General features: G+C 45.8%; 1 protein-coding gene across 10 annotated transcripts in view, besides 3 other annotated features; it reads right to left on the bottom strand.

The window, feature by feature from the left end:
* The window catches only part of HNRNPM (heterogeneous nuclear ribonucleoprotein M), a 44,140-nt gene extending 25,668 nt beyond the window's left edge, over window positions 1-18,472 (bottom strand). For 8 of the 10 annotated variants that reach the window (NM_005968.5, XM_005272479.3, XM_005272478.4 and 5 more), the window contains exons 1-3: window positions 18,336-18,472; window positions 7,873-8,042; window positions 866-918 (exon numbers count right to left, since the gene is read on the bottom strand). In NM_005968.5, the coding sequence (NP_005959.2) occupies window positions 866-918; window positions 7,873-8,042; window positions 18,336-18,448 (336 nt within the window). In that variant the 5' untranslated portion in view covers window positions 18,449-18,472. Of the gene's footprint in view, window positions 1-865; window positions 919-7,872; window positions 8,043-18,335 lie in introns of those variants that run through there. The other 2 variants (NM_001297418.2, XM_047438860.1) reach the window with 2 other exon arrangements.
* Window positions 17,964-18,193: a silencer, noted in NCBI's record as "silent region_10025". NCBI's record gives its function as "represses an Ori minimal core promoter by ATAC-STARR-seq in GM12878 lymphoblastoid cells {active_cell/tissue: GM12878}" and the evidence as "EXISTENCE:reporter gene assay evidence [ECO:0000049][PMID:35858748]".
* Window positions 18,434-18,713: a silencer, noted in NCBI's record as "silent region_10024". NCBI's record gives its function as "represses an Ori minimal core promoter by ATAC-STARR-seq in GM12878 lymphoblastoid cells {active_cell/tissue: GM12878}" and the evidence as "EXISTENCE:reporter gene assay evidence [ECO:0000049][PMID:35858748]".
* Window positions 21,288-21,582: a silencer, noted in NCBI's record as "tiled region #689; K562 Repressive non-DNase unmatched - State 23:Low". NCBI's record gives its function as "represses a minimal TATA promoter and a strong SV40 promoter by Sharpr-MPRA in K562 cells {active_cell/tissue: K562}" and the evidence as "EXISTENCE:reporter gene assay evidence [ECO:0000049][PMID:27701403]".

The following is a 23,972-nucleotide window of genomic DNA, read 5'->3' as shown; positions in this document are numbered from 1 at the left end:
AAAGAAAAAAATAGTAAATATCAATGACAGTTATAAACAAACTAAAAATATGATTTATGTCACAAAGTTAGTCTTTTAAAATGAACCCTTCTAAGGGGAAGCTGACAGAAGTGCCTCGCCTCGCCTTCCTTGTTAAAAGCTGGGCTCCTTAATATCTCCTTCTCCTACGCGTTACCAGCATTGCACTAGAGCTGCTGACATTTAATAAGCAGACCTAAATTCAGGGTCTCCAAGAAATCACACCAACTTTAGATCTGCTTCCCTCTGTACTCAATCGAGTCCTTACCATATTCCTCCTAAATCCATCCCTTCCGTAAGTTAAGCTCATCCTTTTGATTATTCTAAGCCATTCTATTGCACGACAGAAAATAGTTTATGTTCTCTTTAAACTAGGCCAATTTTGAACATTCAGGTTTTTAATATTTGGTTTACAATTTACTGGCACAAAGGCAACTTTTCGGAATCTTTGGTTCACACAACTTTCAAATTCAGCAAACAACCAAGAGTAACATTTTCTAGACAAGAACACACGTTTTACATTAATTATACCACCGCTAAAATTCCATGCATAATTCACACACAGCCAATTCCTCTGTTAACAAAGAGACAATGCTGCTATTGGTCCCCAGTTATCCAAATTGGGCATCCAAACAGAATACCAAAAAGCTCTTTGGCCAGCCATTTGGAAAAGCGGGACTCCCATTTGCAAATCCCCTCCCACCCCACTCAAATGTTTGGCAAAATCAAACATAGCTACTGTAACATGAGCACTCACTGCCTTCCTGATTTCATTCGATTCCACGCCACCATACAGTTACATTTTTCATGTAGTAAATCCACAGAAGAAATTCTCTCAGACACTTACCCTTGACTTTCCTTCAGCGTCCATTAAGAGCTCCACGTATGTTACCTCACCAACTACAAATCAGTTTCCAGACGACACATAAACCAAGGGAGAAAAGCCAAGAAAACAATGGGAATTTAGAACAATCATCAGCAACCTTGTATGGAGCCTCTGCCTTATAAGAAAGCCCAGAAACACTCCATATTCTCTAAACCACCGAACTAGGCATTACAGGTGTGCAGTAAAAGTAGGTGAAAACACGTTAACAATATGTCCTTGATTTTCCTCCCACCACAAACAAGCTATTCCACAGATTTCCGTATCAATTTCCCTGTCTGGAAGACTCATTCATGACTAGAGGCAATCCAAATCTATAGGAAAGAAGTCTGCGTGATTTACTTTTCTGGGGAAGGGAGGAGGTTTTACACATACGCTCTCATTGGTGGCAAGCAGGTGAAATGCATACAAATTGCGATGCCATCGGGCTGAGCTCACATGCTATAAATACAAGGACGCACGTATGCGAAGGTATAAGCTCACAGGCACACACGGCCGCAGGGCCAGCTTCACAGGTGAGCAACTCGTGCAATTGTACAGAGCCCCGCACTCAGGGGCCCTGAGCTTGGTTTAATGCTGTTATCGCTGCCATGACATTCTTAGTTTTTTTTTTTAACAAGAGGCCCCTTGTTTTCGTTTTGTGTTGGGCCCCACAAATTCTATAGCTGGTCCTGCACACAGCACTAGGCTCCACATCTGTAGAGGCAGAATGTTTGAATATAATAAGATCACAAAACCAGAGCAGCATCTGGATTCTCTTCAGTGAATTAGGCCAGGCTTCATTCTTGCCGCTTTCTAAACCTCCCCATTTAAAGGACACAAATAAATTCAAATTTAGGGCTCAGATTTTGTATCTAAACAGTTAAACAGACTCATATGATTCTAATCTACACAAAAGGGAAAAAACCAAAGCATTTCAAAAGTTTCTGCAGATTTTCCTCAAGGTTTGGATTGCCAATTCATGACCACCATGACCAGATGTTAGAATCCATCAAGACAACCACCAAAATGGCTGCTGAACTTGAAGATGGCACACAGAAAACAAATGTAAAGTGTTACCCTGGAGAAAACTATCTCTAACCAGACTCTCCAAAGGCAAAAAATGGGCTTTTGTTGTCCTCTGGATCGGTTTGGTTTAGCAGTACAAGGGTAAAAATAACCCGCTTAACGGCCTCAACAAGTCATGCCTATTCCAACTCTTTTGTTTAAAGGACATTAAAATTATGAGGCTATAGGAAGAAAAATTTTTAATGAAAAACAAGGTAAAATTATTTTACAAAAAATTTAAAGATCTGAAGGACATATTTATTAATGGCTCTGCACATTGGTTGAAGGCAAGAAAGCCAAGTGTCCAAAGTTTACATCTAGAGCCTCACCCTCTTTGTCCTCTCCTGAAATGTTTCAGAACGAAACTGACACTTTGTACAAAACAGGAGAATCATCAGTGCAAAGAAATGAAGAACGGAAATATGAGGGATCAGTACAATTTACTTTTAGAGTATGTACTCCTGTGGGGCAAACTGAAAAATGATCACAGCCAAGGGACAGTTGTACAAAGCGGCTTTATTTAACCCTTAAAAAGTAAAGCAGTTCCAAAAATGCAGCCGCCCTGAGGCCATGTTAAAAAGCCATTTGTTTCAAGAGCAGCAGCCATTCAAGGACCACCAACCCTTGTCTCCACTTTGATGAAAATGCCACATAGTGTCAAAATAGTGACTGAAGAGGCCCCAAGTTGATTTCCTACCAGCTATGACTACCACCTAATAACCTTTAAAAAATAAAAGACTCACAATAATTAATTCAAAACAGCTGCAACCATGTTGCCGAAATTCAAGTCCCAGTTGCATGGGAAGTTTCTAGTCTGTGTCCATAAGACGCTTGGATCAAAAAGCTGTAATTGCAACCCAGAAACCAAGCAAATCCAAACCAAACTTTTTCCCATGGCCATAACCACTTTAACAAAAAGAGAGGTTTAGAAATTAGGACTTTTTCCACGTAACAGTCTAGTCTAGAAATAGCACACCTGACTCAATCCTTTGTATTAAAAATTTGCTTAAAACGTTCTCCCTCTTTTTACCTCAAGTGGTATCATCATTTAGCAGTCACCCGGGGGTCCAGCATGAGTAGTGCTGTCCCTGAGATCATCAGTAATGCCCATCCTCCTCACAAACTCATAAAATTCCAACCTCTACCCTGAGAGACCATCCATTAAGTGTTAAGGGATCTGCAATAGCTGCTAATTCATACTTTCCTATAGGAAAATGGAGCCTTTAAAAGACCACCTCCCTTTTGGTTCTACAATAGCAAAGCAAAGATTTATTTTATGTAGTCAGTACAACTATCGACAAGAATGTGAGGGCAAAATTTGTCAAGTAAACAGTCTGGTCACATTCCATGAAGTGAAGTTTAACGAGCAAACCATCCAGAGCAGATCACACAGTCAGGACTCAGGGGTAGAGGTGACAGCTTGGCAGTAGCAGCAGTCTTACAGAAACGGCACTCACAGTTATTAATAAAAAATACGGTTGCTCCTCCCCCTGTGTAAACATGGATGGAATTCATGGAATCCCAAGAGTAGGCTGCTAAGACAAATTCTACTGCAGCTTAAAACATCAAAATATTGAAAAAACTAAGACATTAAAAAATCTAACACCAACTGTTATCTACCTCTATTTAAAATGCTCTAAGAAATCATTTTTGACCAACATTTAAGTGAATTATTAAAAAGACTGCCTTATTCTTAAAACACATCAGGAGGATAAGCAGATGAGCAACCCAAAAAGAACTCAGGCGGTCCCTGGGAGCTACTGTGACCTCACTCTCCTGCACAGACCTTTAGCCAAATGAGTATTTGTTTTTGTGTTCCCATTTACTGCTCAAGTCTGAAAAAGAAAAAAAGAGGGAATACAGTGCCGAAGCTTCACTGAAGAGAATTCACATGTTATAAGACCTATATATTTTTTTTTAACAGGAGTTGGGGGGACTTGAAAGTCAGGCATGTTGTCAAACATTCTTCATCTCATAACGGTCAATTCTCAGGCTGCCACTCTATTGGGCGAGGGGAGTGCACAGAACACATGCACACTCTTTAATATAAAGACACCTTGAAACATGGCAAAATAATTATTCTACACACCTACTTGGCTTATGGACATGTTAGGAAATGACTGAGCCCACGCTCCTCAATTGCGTGGCAATAACAGAACGTTACTGCTTCCCTAACACCAGAGACCACACGGGGTAAGCCAGACAGGCTGCACTGCTGGGGCTCAACCTAAGTATTCATACATATGAACGCTTTAGCATAACAGGCCTTTCTAAAATGCAGGCTGCGGCCAGGCCTGTAATCCTAGCACTTTGGAAGGCCAAGGCAGGCAGATTACCTGAGGTCAGGAGTTCAAGACCAGCCTGGCCAACATGGTGAAAGCCCATCTCTTACTAAAAATACAAAAATTAACTCGGCGTGGTGGTGGGTGCCTAATCCCGGCTACTTGGGAGGCTGGGGCAAGAGAATCACTTGAACCCAGGGGGCAGAGGTTGCAGATCACACCACTTCATTCCAGCCTGGGCAAAAGAGCAAGACTCCATCTCAAAAACAAAATAAATAAAATACAGGCTGCATTTCCAACAGAGGAAAATATGAAGAAGCAAGTAGACTGGGTAGGAATATCATTTAAATTGAAAATACAGTTCTGCCTAATAGACCCACAATGCAAATTATCTCCAGGAGCCAAGATGGAGGTTTTCTACTGGACTACACTTGCCCTCTGGGCCTTAGTTTTCTGTCAGATGCAATTTGAAATTTACTTAAAGTGGTGTATTATACTAACAGAAGGATTAAGTGCTTAAAAGAAATCTTTGCTTACACAAGTTGAACTGACTGCTGCTAAACTTCGGATCGACTGAGGGTAAACTACATCCCTGACCTTCCTTTCTTCCTCAACCTGGGCTCTATTTACTCACTGCAGGTGCAGCTCAGTCCTGCTCTGGTGGCACTGCCCCACCTGGGTGCTGCCGGCTGCCTGGTGAGGTCAAGAGAAGCAGCCCAGCAAGGAGCTTCCTCCACTCATACAGGACTTGGTCTCAAACAAATGTAGCACGACACTAAGTTTAAAAGCCTAAGATCGCCTTTTCTCACAGAAATCTTTATTTTTTCCACCCAGTCCTTATGGTCAATCACTTTAAGATGTGTATCCCTTTACCTGTCAGGATACAACCTGGGGAGCTGTGGCCTGTTAAGTCACTTTCAAAGGCATAAATGACCAGTTTACTTCCTATGTGGATTTTTAATAGGAAATGCTAGAATGCTGCTAAATGCTAAAATTAAAGCTGGAGAATATGCAGCTGGTATGAAAGATGGGGAAGAGGATCAAGAGTGAGGGAGGAGCATGTGAGACAATCTCCCCCCGGAGTATCCTTAGAAAAAAAGCTCCCCTCTTGGGCCTCTCAAAGCTAGCTACTTTAGTTCTGAGAGGCTGCAATTAGATAGTGCTATAATGACAGAAAATTTCAGTTGAGGACAACTAATTCCAGTTCTTGTTCTACTCATTTCCTGAAACAAGGCTAAGATTCATCAGACCTTAAAACACAGACTGATAAAGAGTGCTTAGGTTACAACAGCCCAGATCTCTGTGTTTTGGAATTGAGACTAATACTTTTAGGGTTGTAAGTGCCTCTATCTGCCAGTTCTTCCTATGTATAAAGTCTTCAAAACACTTAAAACTTATGCGCAACAAATTTCAAGTAAATATTTCAGATTTAAACTAACCACTTAAACATTTTTTGTACACCAAAACGGGAATAAAAACGTCTTTTTGAAAGCACGTAATAAGAAGAGTATTTCTTAAGAAGTCATATGTATGTAAACACAGTAAATTTCTTTAGACCTCACATACTGAATATAAGCATTATCATAAAAAGATTACCTTTCTGAGTCACTTTACCCACAATCCTATACCGCTAATAATTTAATTAAACAGCAAAGTAATTAATTTAACCAGTACAGGGGAGCTCTAAACAAGAACATTTTAAGGCTCATTAAAAATAACTGATTTACTGCACACCTGTAATTCTAAATTACACCACCAAAAATACACTGAGAGGGCTGAGCCCAGGCATTCGTAGCAGTATGCCAGGGGAATATGAGAACCAGTTTGGAAGTATCCCAATCAACCACCAGGCTGGCTCCACACTTAAGAGTGCAAAATAGTGAATTGAGGTGAACTGCTTCTACATCCAGAAACACCATGGCTGCTGCTGCTACTACCAGCTTTAAGGTTTCCCAAACCGAATTACTGAATGGTAAAGCAGTAAAAATGTCACCTACTTCATCCAGCATGTCCCAAAACTGGTTCACACACTCCTAAAAATGAAAAAATAATTTGGCCTGCAATCTCTTACAAAATTCTAACAATTGCATTTTCAAAGCCACATTCCTGGTTCTTGGAACTACTATACCTTATTATCAATGGAAATAGCAATTCAGCGGTTCAACCAAATCACGAGAACACAAATTTGGAGGTTATTCCAAAAGCTAATTCGAATGAGGCCCAACTGTACTGTACAGAAATTCTAAGCTTCTATTGAAGCAGCAGTCCCAAAAACCAAGAACACTGCATCTGGGATGCAGCATGACACACCCTCAGACAAAAAGAAGAAACTGCACTCTTGCCCTAGGAGCATTGGCAGGAATGATTTGGCTGATCAAGGCAGGCACATCAATCTCACACCAAAACGTTTTTCCATCTGTGTTATCTGGAGAAATGCCACGTGGGAGCAGCACGCGTGACTGTACGGAGAGGTTCACAGTGCCTAGTGCTTCTTGCATGTCATGGTCAAAATAAGGGATGGGACAATGATGGCAGTGCCATTCATAATTTCAAAATCCAATGCAGGGAGCACCAGTACACATACCAAAATGGCCTATCCACGGGGCATCTCTGTCACTGAAATGTTAAATCATTTGACAAATCAAGCTCACATCTCTTTTCATAATGAATGCTCCAGAAAACCAATACCTTTCAGTCATGCAAAGACTCCATGAAGGGTAGTTTGAGTCTAGGTCGGGGTGCGGGGAGGGCGCCTCAAGGCAATATACAAATTGTTCTCTACCACGGTGTTGTCTAACCCAGGGCTGAGCAGTCTCTTTAGTCCTAAGTGCCACCAGCAGGGCCAAGAATCAGGAAAGAAAGGAAGACGATAGCAGCACAGGAGGGAAGAAGGAGAGAGAGAGGACACCACAGTGTGCACGGGGGTGAGGATCACAGAGGCAGGCCTCCTCGGGCCTCCTGGTGGCAGCAGAGCTTGGCTGCTTCCCCTGCCCTCGGCTGGAAGGTGGACACCTAGGCTATGACAATCCACATCCTAAGGCACCGCGTTACAAAGCAGATACCTTATTTTGAGCTCTCCAATGGCCAGTCTACTCTATTTTTTCCCAGAGGGGAAAAAGCCTAAAAGTTAAAATACAAGCTAATGTTTTATAGTTTGGAATCTGAGAAGCATAAGGTCCAGCTACCACATTTTGATCCCAGGAAGACATCCACAAAATTTTAAACAAGCTATCTTCCTGTGAAACTTAAAAAGCTTAAAAAAAAAAAAAAAAGGAAAGAAAGGAAAAATCTCTCCCACCTAACGTGCAAAATTCAAAAAATTTCAACACGAAAAGGCTCCCCGGAAGCCTAATCGAAGCCTTATTAACCATACTAAGCCAGTAAAATCATCTGTAGGCCAAAGGACCATACAAACCATCCTGTTTGACACACAGGGGTATGACCACAAAACAAAACAAAACAAAAAAAAAACACAAAACAAAAAAAAAAAACTGAGGTGGGGTAAGGGGGCTTCACTCTTAAGCCTGGAAAGAACATGCTCTACCCAGAGCCGCTTCCACTGACCAAAAATAACCAAGGAATTAGCCACAGAAAAGATGACACACCAACCTTCTCACCCTACTCAATCACCAGTACCATTACCTTTTTCTTTAACCAGGTCTTTAAGTGACTGCCATTTCACATCAAAAGGTATGTTTGTAATGAAGGCTCTGTATCTTTTAGTTGGATTGGCATATGGCTCAAAGCGATTGCCTCCTCTTTTTATGTTTTTCTCCTTCCTCTTCTCATTCTGAGCAGGTCGTTCTCCTTCACTGAATTCGAGAGAGAGGAAAAAAAGGTAAAGGGTTTATATGTCAGCACAATGTGAAAGATAATTATTTGATTTGCCAGGTTTACAATTCCACACAAAGTTACATATGACACAAGACTAGTATTGGTCAGATGCGGTGGCTCACACCTGTAATCCTAGCACTTTGGGAAGCCAAGAAGGGGGGATCATTTGAGGCCAGGAGTTCAAGACTAGCCTGGGCAACATAGCAAGACCCTGTCAAAACAACAAAAAAATATATATAAAACTTAGCCAGGTGTGGTGGTGCACTTGCAGTACTAGCTAGTAGGGAGGGTGAGATGGGAGGATCACTTAAACTCGGGAGTTCGAGGCTCCAGCAAACTATGATCACCCTACTGCACTCCAGCCTAGGGTGACAGAGCGAGACCCTGTCTCAAAAAAAGCAAAGACAAGACTAATGTTGGTTTTGAATTAAGACATTCAAACTCAAGGCTCCACAGGGCAGAAAGCATTCCCAAGGAAAGGTACACCTTCCTGGGCTCACAAAATACTCCTACGGACAGTAACAGAGACAATGGTGAGGCCAACTCCCTGACCAAGGTGTGTTAATTCCAAGACAGAAACAGGAGAAGAGAGGGATGATTTCTAAGACTTCATAGAATGGAAATATGAGGTAGTACACATAGGCCCATCCAATTTTAGCTTCACAAATAAGTGTCTTTCATAGTGTTAAAAAAAAAAAGGGGGGGGGGGCATAAAATGATGCAGCCGCCATGGAAAAGTTAGGTAGTCACTCAAAATTAAACACAGAATTACTATGACCCAGCAATTCCACTGCTAGGTATACACCCAAAAGAATTAAAAGCAGGGACTCATACACATATGCCAATGTTCATAGCAGCACTACTCACACAAGCCAAAAGGTAGAAACAACCAAGTGTCTACCAATAGATGAATGGAATAAACAAAACACGGACTATCCATGCAATGGGATATTATTCAGCCACAAAAAGGAAGGAAATCCTGACAAAGGCTACAACATGCATGAACCTTGAGGGCATTATGCTCAGTGAAATAAGCCAGTCACTGAAGGCCAAATATTGTATGATTCCACTTATTAAATACCTATAATAAGCAAATCCATACACAGAAAGTAGAACAGAGGTTACCTGGGCCTAGGGGGAGGTAGAAATGGGAAGTTATTAAATACTGAGCATAGAATTTCATGTGGGATGAGAATAAAAGTTCCAGGAATGTGCAGATTGCTGCAAAACATCATACTTCACTGCACACTTAAGATGGTTAAAATGGTCTATTTTATGTATATTTTAACCACTTTTTAAAAATCCAGAAAGGTGGAAAAGAAACCACTCCCTACACAATCCTACTACTTTGAAGCTGGGAAACTTGGGTCTGAGCAACCCTGGGAGGTGGAAGACAGCATGCAGACAATCCCACCTTTGGCAAAGAAGGGTGGCTGCTTTTCTGGCACGGCCTTCCCATTGCACTCTTTACCTTTGTGTGCTAGGTGCCACCACACTGTTAACACTAACCATCTCTAGGTAGCAGCCATCAGGCTTGGAAGCCCGGGCACTGGCTGACAGGGCGCTTTCCTCAGCTGCCAGCTCAAGCGCAACCCCTCTGACTACAGGGAGGCACAGATTAGAGCTGATCAGGAACAAGTGAGGAGCCAGAAGCCACCTCAAGTTTCTTAAGCAACTGAGCCTTGCACCTTCTGCTTCCCCAGCCCTGTGTGTCCCGCCAGTGAGAATCCAGTGACTCCCAGACCACGGGCTCTACTACAGAATTTGTAATCCATGACAAAACCGGAAAAAAAACCAAAAAGCCAAGACTACAGTATTAATGATTTATAAAAGTATCTTTAACTGAAGAGCCGATCTTTATTCTGGGATGTAACTTTCTTCCGTGGAAGAAACACCAGATAGTAGCTGGAGAAGCTACTATTTTAAAATGTTATTTAGTTGAGGCCAGGTGTGGTAACTCCCATCTGTAATCCCAGCACTTTGGGAGGCTCAGGCAGGTGTATCACTTGAGGTCAGGAGTTCAAGACCAGCCTGGCCAACATGCTGAAACTCCATCTCTACTAAAAATACAAAAATTAGCTGGGCGTGGTGGCACATGCCTGCAATCCCACCTCTCAGGAGGCTGAGGCAGGAGAATCGCTTGAACCCGGGGGGCGGAGGTTGCAGTGAGCTGAGACCGCACCACTGCACTCCAGCCTGAGTGACATAATGAGACTCTGTCTCCAAACAAACAAACAAAAGTATTCACTTGAGACCAGGTATGGTGGCTCACACCTATAATCCCAGCACTTTGGGAGGTCAAGGCAGGAGAATCTTACTTAAACCCAAGAGTTCGACAAATAAGACCCTGTCTTTATTTTTAAAAATAATAATAATTATCTGAGTGTGGTGTTGTGCACCTGTAGTCCCAGCTACTCAGGAGGCTGAGCTGAGAGGATGGCTCCAGTCCAGGAGGTCAAGATTGCAGTGAACTATGATTGCACCACTGCACTCCAGCCTGGTTGACAAAGCAAGACCCTGTCTCAAAAATAGTAACGTATTTACTTGGAAAAATTTTAAAGTCAGCAACTTTGTGTAGTCCCCAAACACAAGAGTGCCAAGTGGTATCCCAGCAGAGGTATCACTGGTGTGAGCCACACCCAAATCAACACAAGGTAAAACCAAGGAAAGCAGCTTCCTCTGTGATCTCTCAACTATACCAATACACAATCAACAGGCTTCCCTTCCCACGGGCTGGCAGATAAGGTGATGTTATGGCAGCTCCAATCCCTAGATGCCTAGAACGCAATCTACCTGAGTCCACAAGACTGGCTTCACACCACAAAGCAGGTCCCACAGGAGACCTACAACTGTTACCCAGGCCACTTGTCTACTCCAAAAGAAAGTCCTTCACCAAAGTCTGCCAAACAAAATCTATCTGCCAAATCATCTCCTACTCTTTCCTGGAAAATGACGACGACTGTGTTAGAAAAAATCATAAAACATAACAGAATCTACACATCATGGTCCACCAGAGGATTCACAGATGGAAATGAATTTTAATATTGTTACTTTTGAAGTCCCAAATACTTTAAGATTTACAATAAAAAACATTCTGACAGAGTCCATGATGAATTATTTCCAGTCTTTCACCAGACTGCTTAAGCTCACCTATAAACTACGAAATGTATAAATAAATAATTACAGCCAAAGCAGGTAACAAAGTGTCTAACCTATATTCCACAGGTGCATACCATGGCTACGAATAAACTATCCAATCTAACCACAGAAGCTGAGCATTTGGTTTGGGGTTAATCCACATCACATGACTCACCATTGAGAAAGCGGCTCTCACCATGCTTAATGGGCACAGCACCTCTGCAAACAAATCCTTCCCTGGCTAATCATTCCCTCTGAGAGGTTTCCTCAGTAAAGAGATTAGAACTATCTCTTGTCATTTCCAACTTTTAAAAAATTGACCTTTTTGGAAATCTACCACCACCAACTAATTCTTGACAGACTTGTAGAGAATGACCCTCAAAGAAATATCATTCGAGACACATATTCAAGCAGACTGGCCATGGTGGCTCATGCCTGCAGTCCCAGCAGTTTGGGAGGCTGAGGTGAGCTGAGTGCTTGAATCCAGGAGTCTTGAGACCAGCCTGGGTAACATGGCAAAACCGTGTCCCTACAAAAAAAATACAAAAAATTAGCCAGGTATGTTGGTGCACAACTGCGGTCCCAGCTATGCAGAAAGAAGACAGTCTGGCTCCAGGAGGTCAAGGGTACAGTAAGCCATGATTGCACCACTACACTCCAGCCGGGGGTAACAGCGGGAGACCCTGTCTCGGCAAGGGAAGGGGAAGGGGAAGGGGAGGGACATATTCAAGTTTAGATGATGTGATAGTATAAAAGTGATGTCCTGAAAAGCTCTTTTTTTAACATGTCCAATCCTATTTTCTCACTATCTTCAGGACAAAATTAGGGGAAGATTCTTCTCTAGTCCATGTATATGTATACGTACATATAAAAACTTAACTCTGCAAGTCTTTTTAACTTTTGGCTGGGCGCGGTGGCTCACACCTGTAATCCCAACACCTTGGGGGGCCGAGGCGGGCAGATCACCTGAGGTCAGGAGTTCAAGACCAGCCTGGCCAACATGGTGGAAACCTGTCTCTAATAAACATACAAAAATTAGGCCAGGCACGGTGGCTCACGTCTGTAATCCCAGCACTTTGGGAGGCCGAGGCAGGTGGATTATCTTAGGTCAGGAGTTTGAGACCAGCCTGGCCAACATGGTGAAACCCCGTCTCTACTAAAAATACAAAAATTAGCTGGGCGTGGTGGCAGGCGCCTGTAATCCCAGCTACTCGGGAGGCTGAGGCAGGAAAATTGCTTGAACACAGGAGGCGGGGGTTGCAGTGAGCCGAGATTATGCCATTGCACTCCAGCCTGGGCGACAAGAGTGAAACTCCGTCTCAAAAACAAAACAAAACAAAACCAAAAATTAGCCGGGCATGGTGGCGGGTGCCTGTAATCCTAGCTACTCGCTACTTGGGAGGCTGAGGCAGGAGAATCACTTGAACGGGAGGCGGAGGTTGCAGTGAAGTGAGATAGCGCCACTGCACTCCAGCCTGGGCAACAAGAGCAAAACTCCATCTCAAAAAAAAAAAAAATAATAATAATAATAATTAATTAAATTAAATTAAAAATACGATTAATGCCTGTAATCCCAGCACTTTGGGAGGCCAAGGTGGGCGGATCACTTGAGCTCAGGAGTTCAAGAACAGCCTGGGCAACATGGTATAACACCATCTCTACAAAATATTAGCTAGGCATGGTACCATGTGCCTGTGGTCCTATTTACTCAGAAGGCTGAGGTGGAAGGATCGCTTGAGCCCAGGAGCTGGAGTTGCAGTGAGTAGAGATCGTACACTGCACCCCAGCCTGAGGGACAAGAGTGAAACTCCATCTCAAAAAACAAAAAAACCCTAATAAAAAGATTGAGTGCCTAATCTGCAAAAGACCACCACCAAATAGTGACTGCCTACCCTCTCTTAAGGTCTCCATGCAGTTCCCATGCGTAACACTCACTACTTTTGGAGTTTCTAATCAAGGAAAGGGTGCAGTTTGAAATGGCAATCCCAATACCCTGAAATTGTGATCACATCTCCTGAGGGACAAGGACCCCTCTGCCCGTGTGAGAACCATCCCTTATATAAAGTGATTCTTCACAGAAATCCCTCAAGTCCTGCGCTGCTCTAATGCATGTAAGGTGTGGAGAGCACTATTCACAGCACCATTCCAGCTCCAAGGCCACCACTGAACTACCCACATGACTCAAGCTCTTTCTGTCTCTAGCGCTTTACCAGCAAAACCAGCGCAACCTGTATGCATGGTAGCTCAGAGGGACACTGTGACAATCAACAAAGAATGGCAAAACAAAAAGCAGCTCATCTAGGGAAGCAGTACTGCATGTGGCTAAGAGCTGGGGTCACCATGTCGTCACTAGGCCTCGGTCCTATGGAGGCTACTACCTACACGCTTACAGCTTTAAAAGAGACTCTTAGGCCGGGCGCGGTGGCTCACGCCTGTAATCCCAGCACTTTGGGAGGCCGAGGCGGGCGGATCACGAGGTCAGGAGATCGAGACCATCCCGGCTAAAACGGTGAAACCCCGTCTCTACTAAAAATACAAAAAATTAGCCGGGCGTAGTGGCGGGCGCCTGTAGTCCCAGCTACTTGGGAGGCTGAGGCAGGAGAATGGCGTGAACCCGGGAGGCGGAGCTTGCAGCGAGCCGAGATCCCGCCACTGCACTCCAGCCTGGGCGACAGAGCGAGACTCCGTCTCAAAAAAAAAAAAAAAAGAGACTCTTAGCACACAGTGAGGCAATGATGTATTTTTCTACCAATAATTTTATTGAGAAGGGTAGAGAGGGGGACTGATTCACTCCTAGCCTTCTACTGTTCAGGCTTTAAAACTAGCAAACCAGAGCCAAGGCTGAGAAAACCTAGGCATCATAATCATTACAGACTAGCAAAGGGACAATTTAGCTTTCAACCCTATGACTGCAAAATATGGTAATGGGGAAGTCCATTGGAGAACCCCCCCTCCCAAAAAAACAAGCAAGCTAATCTTTGCAGGCTAGTATCTCTTTCCCTAACCAGAATAAAATCAAAGAGCTGAGTGAAAGCAAAGGCCTGGCAGCATGCATTCAAATAATCCAAAACCCTGTCTTCTAATCTTGAGCTCACAATCTGACGTGTCTCCAAAATCCTTTTTGAATAAACAATCACTCTTTAAAGTACAGCAAACACTCAAATGCATTGTATAGAGAATCTGATTTAAATAAAACAATTCAAACGGCTGTTTACTGAGTGGTTACCAAGGTAGTATCATGAAAGCAGCAAGCTGCCTGGGAGTCAGGAGGGCCTCCCCTGGAGTCTTTAGGTCAGGTTCCTGAACCTGGGTTTAAGTGTTTAAAACGAAAGTTTTCTTGATTGTCAAATGGAGTCAACTCTAACAGTACCTCCTCAGGAATCTACCCTAAATATATATTTTTATTTTTATAAATAACCAATCCATCTGTTTCTTATTCACCCACAAAATTACTCAGGAAGGGGCCAGGTGTGGTAGCTCACGCCTATAATCCCAGCACTTTGGGAGGCCAAGACGGGCGGATAACGACGTCAGGAGATCGAGACCATCCTGGCTAACAGAGTGAAACCCCATCTCTACTAAAAAAAAATATTAAAAAAATTAGCCAGGCATGGTGGCGGGCGCCTGTAGTCCCAGCTACTCGTGAGGCTGAGGCAGGAGAATGGCGTGAACCCGGGAAGCGGTTCACGGAGCTTGCAGTGAGCTGAGATCGCGCCACTGCACTCCAGCCTGGGCAACAGAGCGAGACTCCATCTCAAAAAAAAAAAAAAATTACTCAGGAAGGGGAGCAGGTTAAGTCATTTATTTTATATATGATACTACATTTAAAAAAATTTTAAAAACCTATACATTCCCCTAAAATGAACTTTTTTTTCCCTGACTATACCCTAACTCTGAATCTTTGCTGACTTTAATTGGAACAGACTTCTCATCAAAATTAAGCAAATCCTATTCTCACACCCAGGAGAGAAGTAACTGCAAAACAAGATTTCCAACCTGGGTTCCCAGATCAAGCTTGCTAGCTCACTGCATTTGTGGTCTACTGCACACTCCACTCCTGGTAGAGAAAGAATTCCAAAGAACCAAGTTTCTATTTTTCTCCTGTCTCTCAAAGGCTTTCAAGATAAAAATCCAAATTCACTGCCCATCAGCTGGCTGCCAGTGCTCCAACCTTAAAACTCTATAGCAACTTCAGTGTTCTTGTTTGTTTGTTTGTTTGAAGAAGGAGTATCGCTCTGTCGCCCAGGCTGGAGTGCAGTGGCCCAATCTCGGCTCACTGCAAGCTCTGCCTCCCAGGTTCACGCCATTCTCCTGCCTCAGCCTCCCCAGTGGCTGAGACTACAGGAGCCCGGCACCACGCCCGGCTAATTTTTTGTATTTTTAGTAGAGACGGGGTTTCACCGTGTTAGCCAGGATGGTCTCTATCTCCTGACCTCGTGATCTGCCCGCCTCGGCCTCCCAAAGTGCTGAGATTACAGGCGTGAGCCGCCGGGCCCAGCCTGTTTTGTTTTTTCTTTTTTTTGGTAGAGACAGGGTTTCACCATGTTGCCCAGGCTGGTCTTGAACTCCTGAGCTCAAATAGTCCTCTCACCTCAGCCTCCCAAAGTGCTGGGATTACAGGTGTGAGCCACTACACCCAGCACAACTTCAGTTCTCGATAAAGCATACACTCAAATCTCTGCTCTTTGGATACTCTCTTCCCTGCCCCTCCCCAACCATCTTCTTCTCCTCCACTTCCACACGTCTTCCTGTCATGGAGGAACAGGTCCCTGCCCCCAGCAGGTGGCGGAGGTCACCTCCTCCATTCTTTCTACCAAGCAACTCCACTAACTTCTATCACAGCATAATTACCTTATGTTATGGTAATTACATAACATACATAACATACAAATATGTTAATGGCCTCTCCACTCTGCATGGAGTGCAAAAGTATAGGCTTCTAAAGAGATTTCCTTAAGACTTGTAATGAAAAAAAAAAAAAAAAGTTTTCCACAGGCCCTATCAAAAATATCCAAGTGTTGCCAGCTTCCTAAACTATCCTCTATGAAGCTAGTACTAGACTTTGAGACTTTGAGCCTCTTTCTCACAACGGCTATTTTATTCTACAATTTTCAGGTTCCAACAGTCCACATGTATTTGTAAAATGACTCAGTCACAAAATGACTATTTGAAAATGGACAGGGGAAAAGGGAAAATTTGTAATCTATTAATTTACCCTATCATCTAGCAAGGTTCTACCAGCACTCCTTCCTGCATACGGTAAATAAATTTATCTTAAAGCCCTCCAAATACCACCCTCAGAAATCCTACCAGCTTCCGTAGATAGACGCTGAAAAAGTCAAAATTAACACATTCCTTCCCAGAGTTTTCAATAGTAAAATGCTGGGAATAGAGGAAGTTTTTCTCATTTCTAAGGGCCAGTAACCATGGTATTTTATTTCTCCCTACTTAAGGAGGGAAAGAATCTGGAATTTTCTCCGGATTTATTATCTACCAATATAGCTAGCACTTAGGGAACGTTCTTAACCTAAGCGCTCAACTAGGCAGGGCGCAGTAGCTCATGCCTGTAACTTCAGCACTTTGGAAGGCCTAGGCAGGAGGATGGCTTGAACCCAGGAGTTTCAGACCAGCCTGGGCAACACCCGGAGACCTCCTCTCTTCAAAAAATTAGCCGGGCATGGTGGTGCCGCGCCTGTGATCCCAGCTACTCAGGAGGCTGAGATGGAAGGATCGATTGAGCCCAGGAGTTCGAGGCTGCAGTGATCTGTGATCGTGCCACTGCATCCCAGCTTGGGTAACAGAGGGAGACCCTGTCTCAAAGAAAAAAATTAAATATATAAGTGCTCAACCGCATTCACTTTTAATCTCCATAAACTAAGCTTCACACATTACAATATGAGGAAGGCAAAGTCACAGACAGAAAGGAAAGAAAACGGAGGGAGTTAGTATTTAATAGCTACACTTTCTGTTTCCGATGATGAAAAAGTTCTGGACATGAAGCAGTGACGGTTACAGCACACTGAGTCAGTATACTCAATGCCACTGAATTATACGCTTAAAAAATGGTTAAAATGGCAAAGTCTACGTTATGTCTATTTTACCACAATGAAATAAATGTCTGGGAAATTCAATGTGTACCCAGGCTTCCCCTTCCTTCCCGGCCGCTGATCTTGGAGCCAAAACCTCTCTGTCTCTCTTAAGTGTCTGTAATCAGAATGAATGAGTTTCACCGGGGCACAAGTCGATGCTTCCTCCTTTAAAGAAACTTTTAAAAGCCAAGGAGTCAAAGAGCCCCAAGCAGGACTCGAAAAGCTGATGAAGTCTGGAAGTAAATGAACCCGCCTCCTGACAGAACAGCTTCCCCGAAACACGGGAAAAAGGGGATTCCTCCCCCGACTTCGTATCTGTCTGCTTCCGAGGGTGAACGCTAAGCAGCAGATCCCATCTCTCCACTAATACCTGCGGCGCACCCGGGGAGGAGGAGCGGGAAACGGCGAGGGACTTGAGCCAGGGCCAGAGCGTGGGGCGAGGGGCGGTTCCGAGGGAGGCACTTCCCGCGGAGCGCGGTCGGCGCGCGGGGACTAAGGGGCGGGGCAGGAGGGGAGCCCCCCGACCCGGCTTCGCGGCCCTTCCTGACGCTTCCCTCGCTCGGTTACCGTTGACTCGGGCTGACTGCGCGCGAGGCCTCCCGGGCGCGCACCCTCTCTCCTCCCCCCACGTTACGGATCAGAAAACAGACCCCGGGAGGAGAGGGGACGGGGGGCTGAAACCCGGCCCCCGAGGTCACCCTCCCGGGGAGCGGTCGGGTAGGCCTCGGAGGCTCTCCGGTCCGGGCCCGCGCCATCAACCCCCATGCGCAGCAGCTGGGCCTGAGGCCTCGACTACGGGGTTGGCCCCGGCCTGGAGGGACTGAGGGTGGCGAGGCTCGAGGCCCGGTGTAGGGGACGATTCTGGAGGCTCCCCCGGCTCCCCGCTCACGGCCCTAGACGCCGCTACCCTGAGCAGGCGGTACGGGAACAGCCGGGGCCGAGGCCGCGCCGGGGCTAGGCCGCCAACAGACCTAACGGAGCCGCCGCCCGCGTCGGCCGCGGAGAGGAACCCTTACCCGTGGCAAAGGACCGTGGGATACTCACCCCTTAGGGCCCGGAGCCCCGTTGCCGCTCGGCACGCCGGGCGCGCCGCTCTCTTCCTCCATTTTGATCTCCGTCGCCGCCACCTCCGCCGCCGCTTCGACCCCTGCCGCCATTTTCTCCGCGTCTGGGCTTTGTGTGAGCGAACGGGCTGCACCGCGCTGCGCCTGCGCGCCCACGTGACCCGACGCAACCAGTAACACCTGCGCCCGCCGCTCCCGGCTGCCTCCTTGGCCCCACTCGCCCCGGGCCACGCCCCCGCCGCGCGCAGGCGCAGACCGGCAGCTGTTGATCGCTTCTCTCTCGAGATACACTCGCGTTAGGCACCGACTGGCTGTTCCCGGCGCGCGTCCTCTGAGTCCGATAGAGGAGGCATCTCCCCACCCCACCCCACACAAACACCTAGACCTAGTCACTCTCAGCTTTCTGTAACCAGAGCTGGAGCAGAGGGGAAGCAATGATCCTGTCTAGAGATTCCTGGAAGTTTTAGATGAAGCTTGTTCAACCCGCGGTCCGGCACACGATTCGTAAACTTTCTTAAAACATTGTGTCTTTTTGTGTGATTTTTTTCTTTTTGTAACGCAATTGCGCGGTTCTCCAGCGCGAACTTTGTAGGCAACAACGGAACGGCATGGAATAATATCAGAGTATTATCCGTAATTCGCATTATAATTGCAAACAGTTCGTCCAGAAGAAACGGAAAACTGTTAAAATTCACTAATAATGGGGCCAGGCGCGATGGCTCACTCCTGTAATCCCAGCACTTTGGGTATGGGAGGCCGAGGCGGCGGATCACCTGAGGTCAGGAGTTCGAGACCAGACTGGCCAACATGGTGAAACCGCGTCTCTACTAAAAATAAAAAAATTAGCTGGACGTGGTGGCGGGCGCCTGTAATCCCAGCTACTCGGGAGGCTGAAGCAGGAGAATCGCTTGAACCCAGGAGCCGGAGGTTGCAGTGAGCCGAGATCACGCCACTGCACCGCAGCCTGGGAGATAGACTGAGACTCCATCTCAAAAAACAAAAAGATAAGTATTGAGTACTGGGCTTAATACCTGGGTGATGAAATAATCTGTACAACAAACCTCCATGACAAGTGTTTACCTATTTAACAAACCTTCACATTTACCCCCAAACCTAAAAGTTAAAAACAAAATTAAAAAAAAAATTAATGGCTGGGCGCGGCAGCTCACGCCTGTAATCCTACCACTTTGAGAGGCCAAGGCGGGTGGATCACGAGGTCAAGAGATCAGACCATCCTGGCCAACATGATGAAACCCTGTCTCTACTAAAAATACAAAAATTAGCCGGGTGTGGTGGCAGGCGCCCATAATCCCAGCTACTGGGGAGCCTGAGGCAGGAGAATCGCTTCAACCCAGGAGGAGGAGGTTGCAGTGAGCCAAGATCGGGCCACTGCACTCCAGCCTGGTCACAGAGTGAGACCCCATCTCAAAAAAATTAAAAATAATAATAAAGAGCGAGAGGACTCTTGCAATGTTGCATAAAGTGAACTGTGACAGAATTCAGGGTGTATTCTGTACTAGGCATAATGCTGTATGGTCTTATTTTTGTGTGCATTCGTGGCATCAGTTTTATGGTGCTGTGCAGCCTCCAATGTGCCATTTTCCAAGTGCAGACAGTCGAATTGGCACCATCAGATGTTACGTGTGCTTGTGGCAACTTGGGCAGTAAGATGCAGCGATTATCTTTTTGAGACGGAGTTTCGCTCTTGTTGCCCAGACTGGAGTGCAATGGCGCCATCTCGGCTCGCTGCAACCTCCGCCTCCTGGGTTCAAGCGATTCTCCTGTCTCAGCCTCCCGAGTAGCTGGGATTACAGGTGCATGCCACCACGCCCGGCTAACTTTTGTATTTTTAGTAGAGACAAGGTTTCATCATATTGGTCAGGCTGGTCTCGAACTCCTGACCTCGTGATCCGCCTGCCTCAGGCTCCCAAAGTGCTGCGATTGTAGGCGTAAACCACTGCGCCTGGCCTTCAATGCAGCGATTATCAATAATATATTTTTTTCTTTTTTTGGAGACAGTCTTGCTCTGTCACAGAGGCTGGAGTGCAGTGGCACCATCTCAGCTCACTGCAACCTCCGCCTCCTGATTTCAAGCGATTCTTCTGCATCAGCTTTCCAAGTATCTGGGATTACAGGTGCACACCACGACGCCTGGCTAAGTTTTGTATTTTTTAGTAGAGATGGGGTTTTGCCATGCTGGCCAAACTAGTCTCAAACTCCTGACCTCAGGTGATCTGCCCACCTCAGCCTCCCAAAGTGCTGGGATTACAGGTGTGAGTCACCGTGCCCAGCCTATCAATAATATTTCAATCTACCTTTGTAAATGATAGCTCACTGCAACCTTGAACTCCTGAACTCAAGCGATCCTCCCCTGCTTAGCCTGTCAAGTAGCTGGGACTGTAGGTGCACGCCGCTGCACTTGGCTAATTTTTTATTTTTATTTTTTGGTACAGATAGGGTCTTGCCGTTTTTCCCAGGATGGTCTCGAACTCCTGAGCTCAAGGGATCCTACAGCCTTGGCCTCCCACAGTGCTGGGATTATAAGCGTGAGCCACTGTGCTGGTCCTTAGAGGATTATTAAAGACAGGTTAACACCAAACTAAAACTCTTCTCTATGAAAGTATTAGAATAGATTTGCAAAGAAAACACTTTTCCTTCTCTCTCTCTCTGTTTCTTTCTCTTTTTGTAGAGACAGGGTCTTGCTATGTTGGCCAGGCTGGTCTCTAACTCCCAGCCTTCAAGCAATCCTCCTGCCTTGGCCTCCTAAAGTGCTGGGATTTCAGGCATGAGTCACCCCATCTCGTCTCTCTCTTCCTCATGGCATGTCCTGAGGCATCTGTACATCAACTCCTGGGGCACCACAGGCCAAAGTTGGCCTGAGGAAAGATGGGTGTCAGGCTGTGTAGGGAGTTCAGCTGCAGGAGCAAGGAAGGCCCCCCCAAGGGGCAGGAGAGCTCATGCGCACTGGTGTGATGCTCCGTTTTTGCAGACCACTGGTGCGTCAGTCACCCCATGCCTAGGAGGCCCTGCCCATCTCTCCAGCCACCTGCCCCTCAATCACACTGCTCCAGCCCTGGGGTTCCTCCCTGCTGCTCTTCCTACAGGCTAAGCAGTTTCCAGCCTCTGGGCCTTTGTGCTTAGCTGTTTCCTCCACTCCCATGGCCACACAGGCTTCTCCTTGCCCTTCCAGTCCAGGCAGAAAGTTTTTCTTCCTTTGTGAGTGAGCTACATACCAGGCAGGGATTCATATGGAAAACAGACCTTGAGCAATCAGCTCCTCCACTCTGAGGCTCAGTTTGCTTAACTGAAAATATGGATAATAAGAAATGCAATGCACCAGGCTGGGCACGGTGGCTCACGCCTGTAATCCTAGCAGTTTGAGAGGCCGAGTCAGGTGGATCATTTGAGGTCAGGAGTTCAATACCAGCCTGGCCAATATGGCGAAACCCCATCTGTACTAAAAATACAGAAATTAGCCAGGCATGATGGTTGGCGCCTGTAGTCCCAGCTACTCAGGAGGCTGAGACAGGATAATTGCTTGAACTCGGGAGGTGGAGGTTGCAGTGAGCAGAGATAGTGCCACTGCGCTCTAGCCTGGGCAACAGGGCGAGACTCCGTCGAAAGAAAGAAAGAAAAGAAAGAGAGAGAGAGAGAGAGAGAAAGAAAGAAAGGCACCAGAACTCACCTTTCAGGGTTGCCCTGAGCTTTAAAAGCAGACAGATGCCAAGAGCCTTTAAATATAAAAGAATCGGCAGGCAGAAAGCGCTGAAGAAGTAGGTGTTGTTATTAGATTAACTGCATTCTGGGCCAGGCTCGGTGGCTCACGCCTGTAATCCCAGCACTTTAGGGGGCCGAGGTAGGTGAATCACCTGAGGTCAGGAGTTCGAGACCAGCCTGGTCAACATGACAAGACTTCATCTCTACTAAAAATACAAAACTTAGCTGCCTGTGGTCCCAGCTACTTGGGAGGCTGAGGCAAGAGAGAATCACTTGAACCCGGGAGGCAGAGGTTGCAGTAAGCCAAGATCACCAAGATCACGCCACTGCTCTCCAACCTGGGTGATGGAGTAAGACTCTGTTTCAAAAAAAAAAAAAAAAAAAAAAAAAAACACGTATTCTGCATCTTTCCTGAGTCTTCCTCCAAAAGGAGTCCTGGTGTCACCCCGGCTCCACTTCCTACAGCTCTGAGACCTTAGATTAAGGCTTCCCTGCCCTGGGCCTCAGTCTTCTCACCTGTAAAATGTAGGTAATAACCACTTCTTCCCTAACAAGTGACAGTCAAAGGAGGGAGAGACTCGGAACTATGCCTAATCTATAGTCACCCTAAGTCAGCGTGGATATTGTCACCATTTTTAAAAAATTGTTTGTTTGCTTTAGAGACAGGGTCTTGCCCTGTTGCCTAGAATAGACAACAGAAGTATAATTATAGCTCACTGCAGCCTGGAACTCCTGGATTCAAGGGATCCTCCCACCTCAGCCTCCTGAGTAACTGTGACCACAGGTGCATGCCACCATGCCCAGCTAATATATATATATTTATATATTTATTTATTTAGTAAAGACAGGGTCTCACTATGTTGCCAAGGCTGGTCTCAAACTCCTAGGCTCAACTGATCCTCCTGCCGAAGCCTCCCAAAATGCTGGGATTACAGGCATCAGCCACCAGGCCTGGCCCATGCTGGACTCTCTACACTTAACTAAAAACTAACAGTGGCTAGGCGCAGTGGTGCATGCCTGTTGTCCCAGCTGCCAGGGAGGCTGAGACAGGATTGCCTGAGCCCAGGAGGTCGAGGCTGGAGTGAGCTGTGTGATTGTGCCTCTGCACTCCAATCTGGGTGACAGAGCAAGACCCCATCTCAAAAAAAGAAAAACAGAGGCCAGCATGGTCTGTGGACTGGCAGATGCAAAGTAAGAGGAAATTGTTCTTATGTCTATTTTATTTTTCTATTTTTTATTTTTTGAGACAGAGTTTCACGATGTCACCCAGTCTGAAATGCAGTGGTGCAACTGATCTCAGCTAACTGCAACCTCTGTCTCCCAGGTTCAAGCCATTCTCCTGCCTCAGCCTCCCGAGTAGCTGGGATTACAGGTGTGCGTCTCCACGCCCAGCTAATTTTTGTATTTTTAGTAGAGATGGGGTTTCACCATGTTGGCCAGGCTGGTCTCGAACTCCTGACCTCAGGTGATCCACCCATCTCGGCCTCTCAAAGTGTGATTACAGGCATGAGCCACCATGCCCAGCCCGTATGTATATTTTAAAAATCATTTTTATAACCCTGCTACCTGATTTTTACTTGAAGACTGAGCCTTTGCTTCTTCCCATGGGCTTCAGAACAGATCCCTCAAAACAAGCCAGTGGTTTTTATTGTTTTTTATTTTATTTTATTTTTTTTGAGACAGAGTCTCGCTGTCTCACCCAGGCTAGAGTGCAATGGTGCGATCTTGGCTCACGGCAACCCCTGCCTCCCGGGTTCAAGCGATTCTCCTGCCTCAGCCTCCCGAGTAGCTGGGACTACAGGTATCTGCCACCACGCCTGGCTCATGTTGTATTTTTAGTAGAGACGAGATTTAACCATATTGGCTAGGCTGGTCTCGAACTCCTGACCTTGTGATCCGC

Source organism: Homo sapiens, chromosome 19 (assembly GCF_000001405.40).
Source record: "Homo sapiens chromosome 19, GRCh38.p14 Primary Assembly".
Classification (NCBI taxonomy): Eukaryota; Metazoa; Chordata; class Mammalia; order Primates; family Hominidae; genus Homo; species Homo sapiens.
Note: the sequence above shows the minus strand (reverse complement) of the source record. Positions and strands in the feature narration are given on the sequence as shown.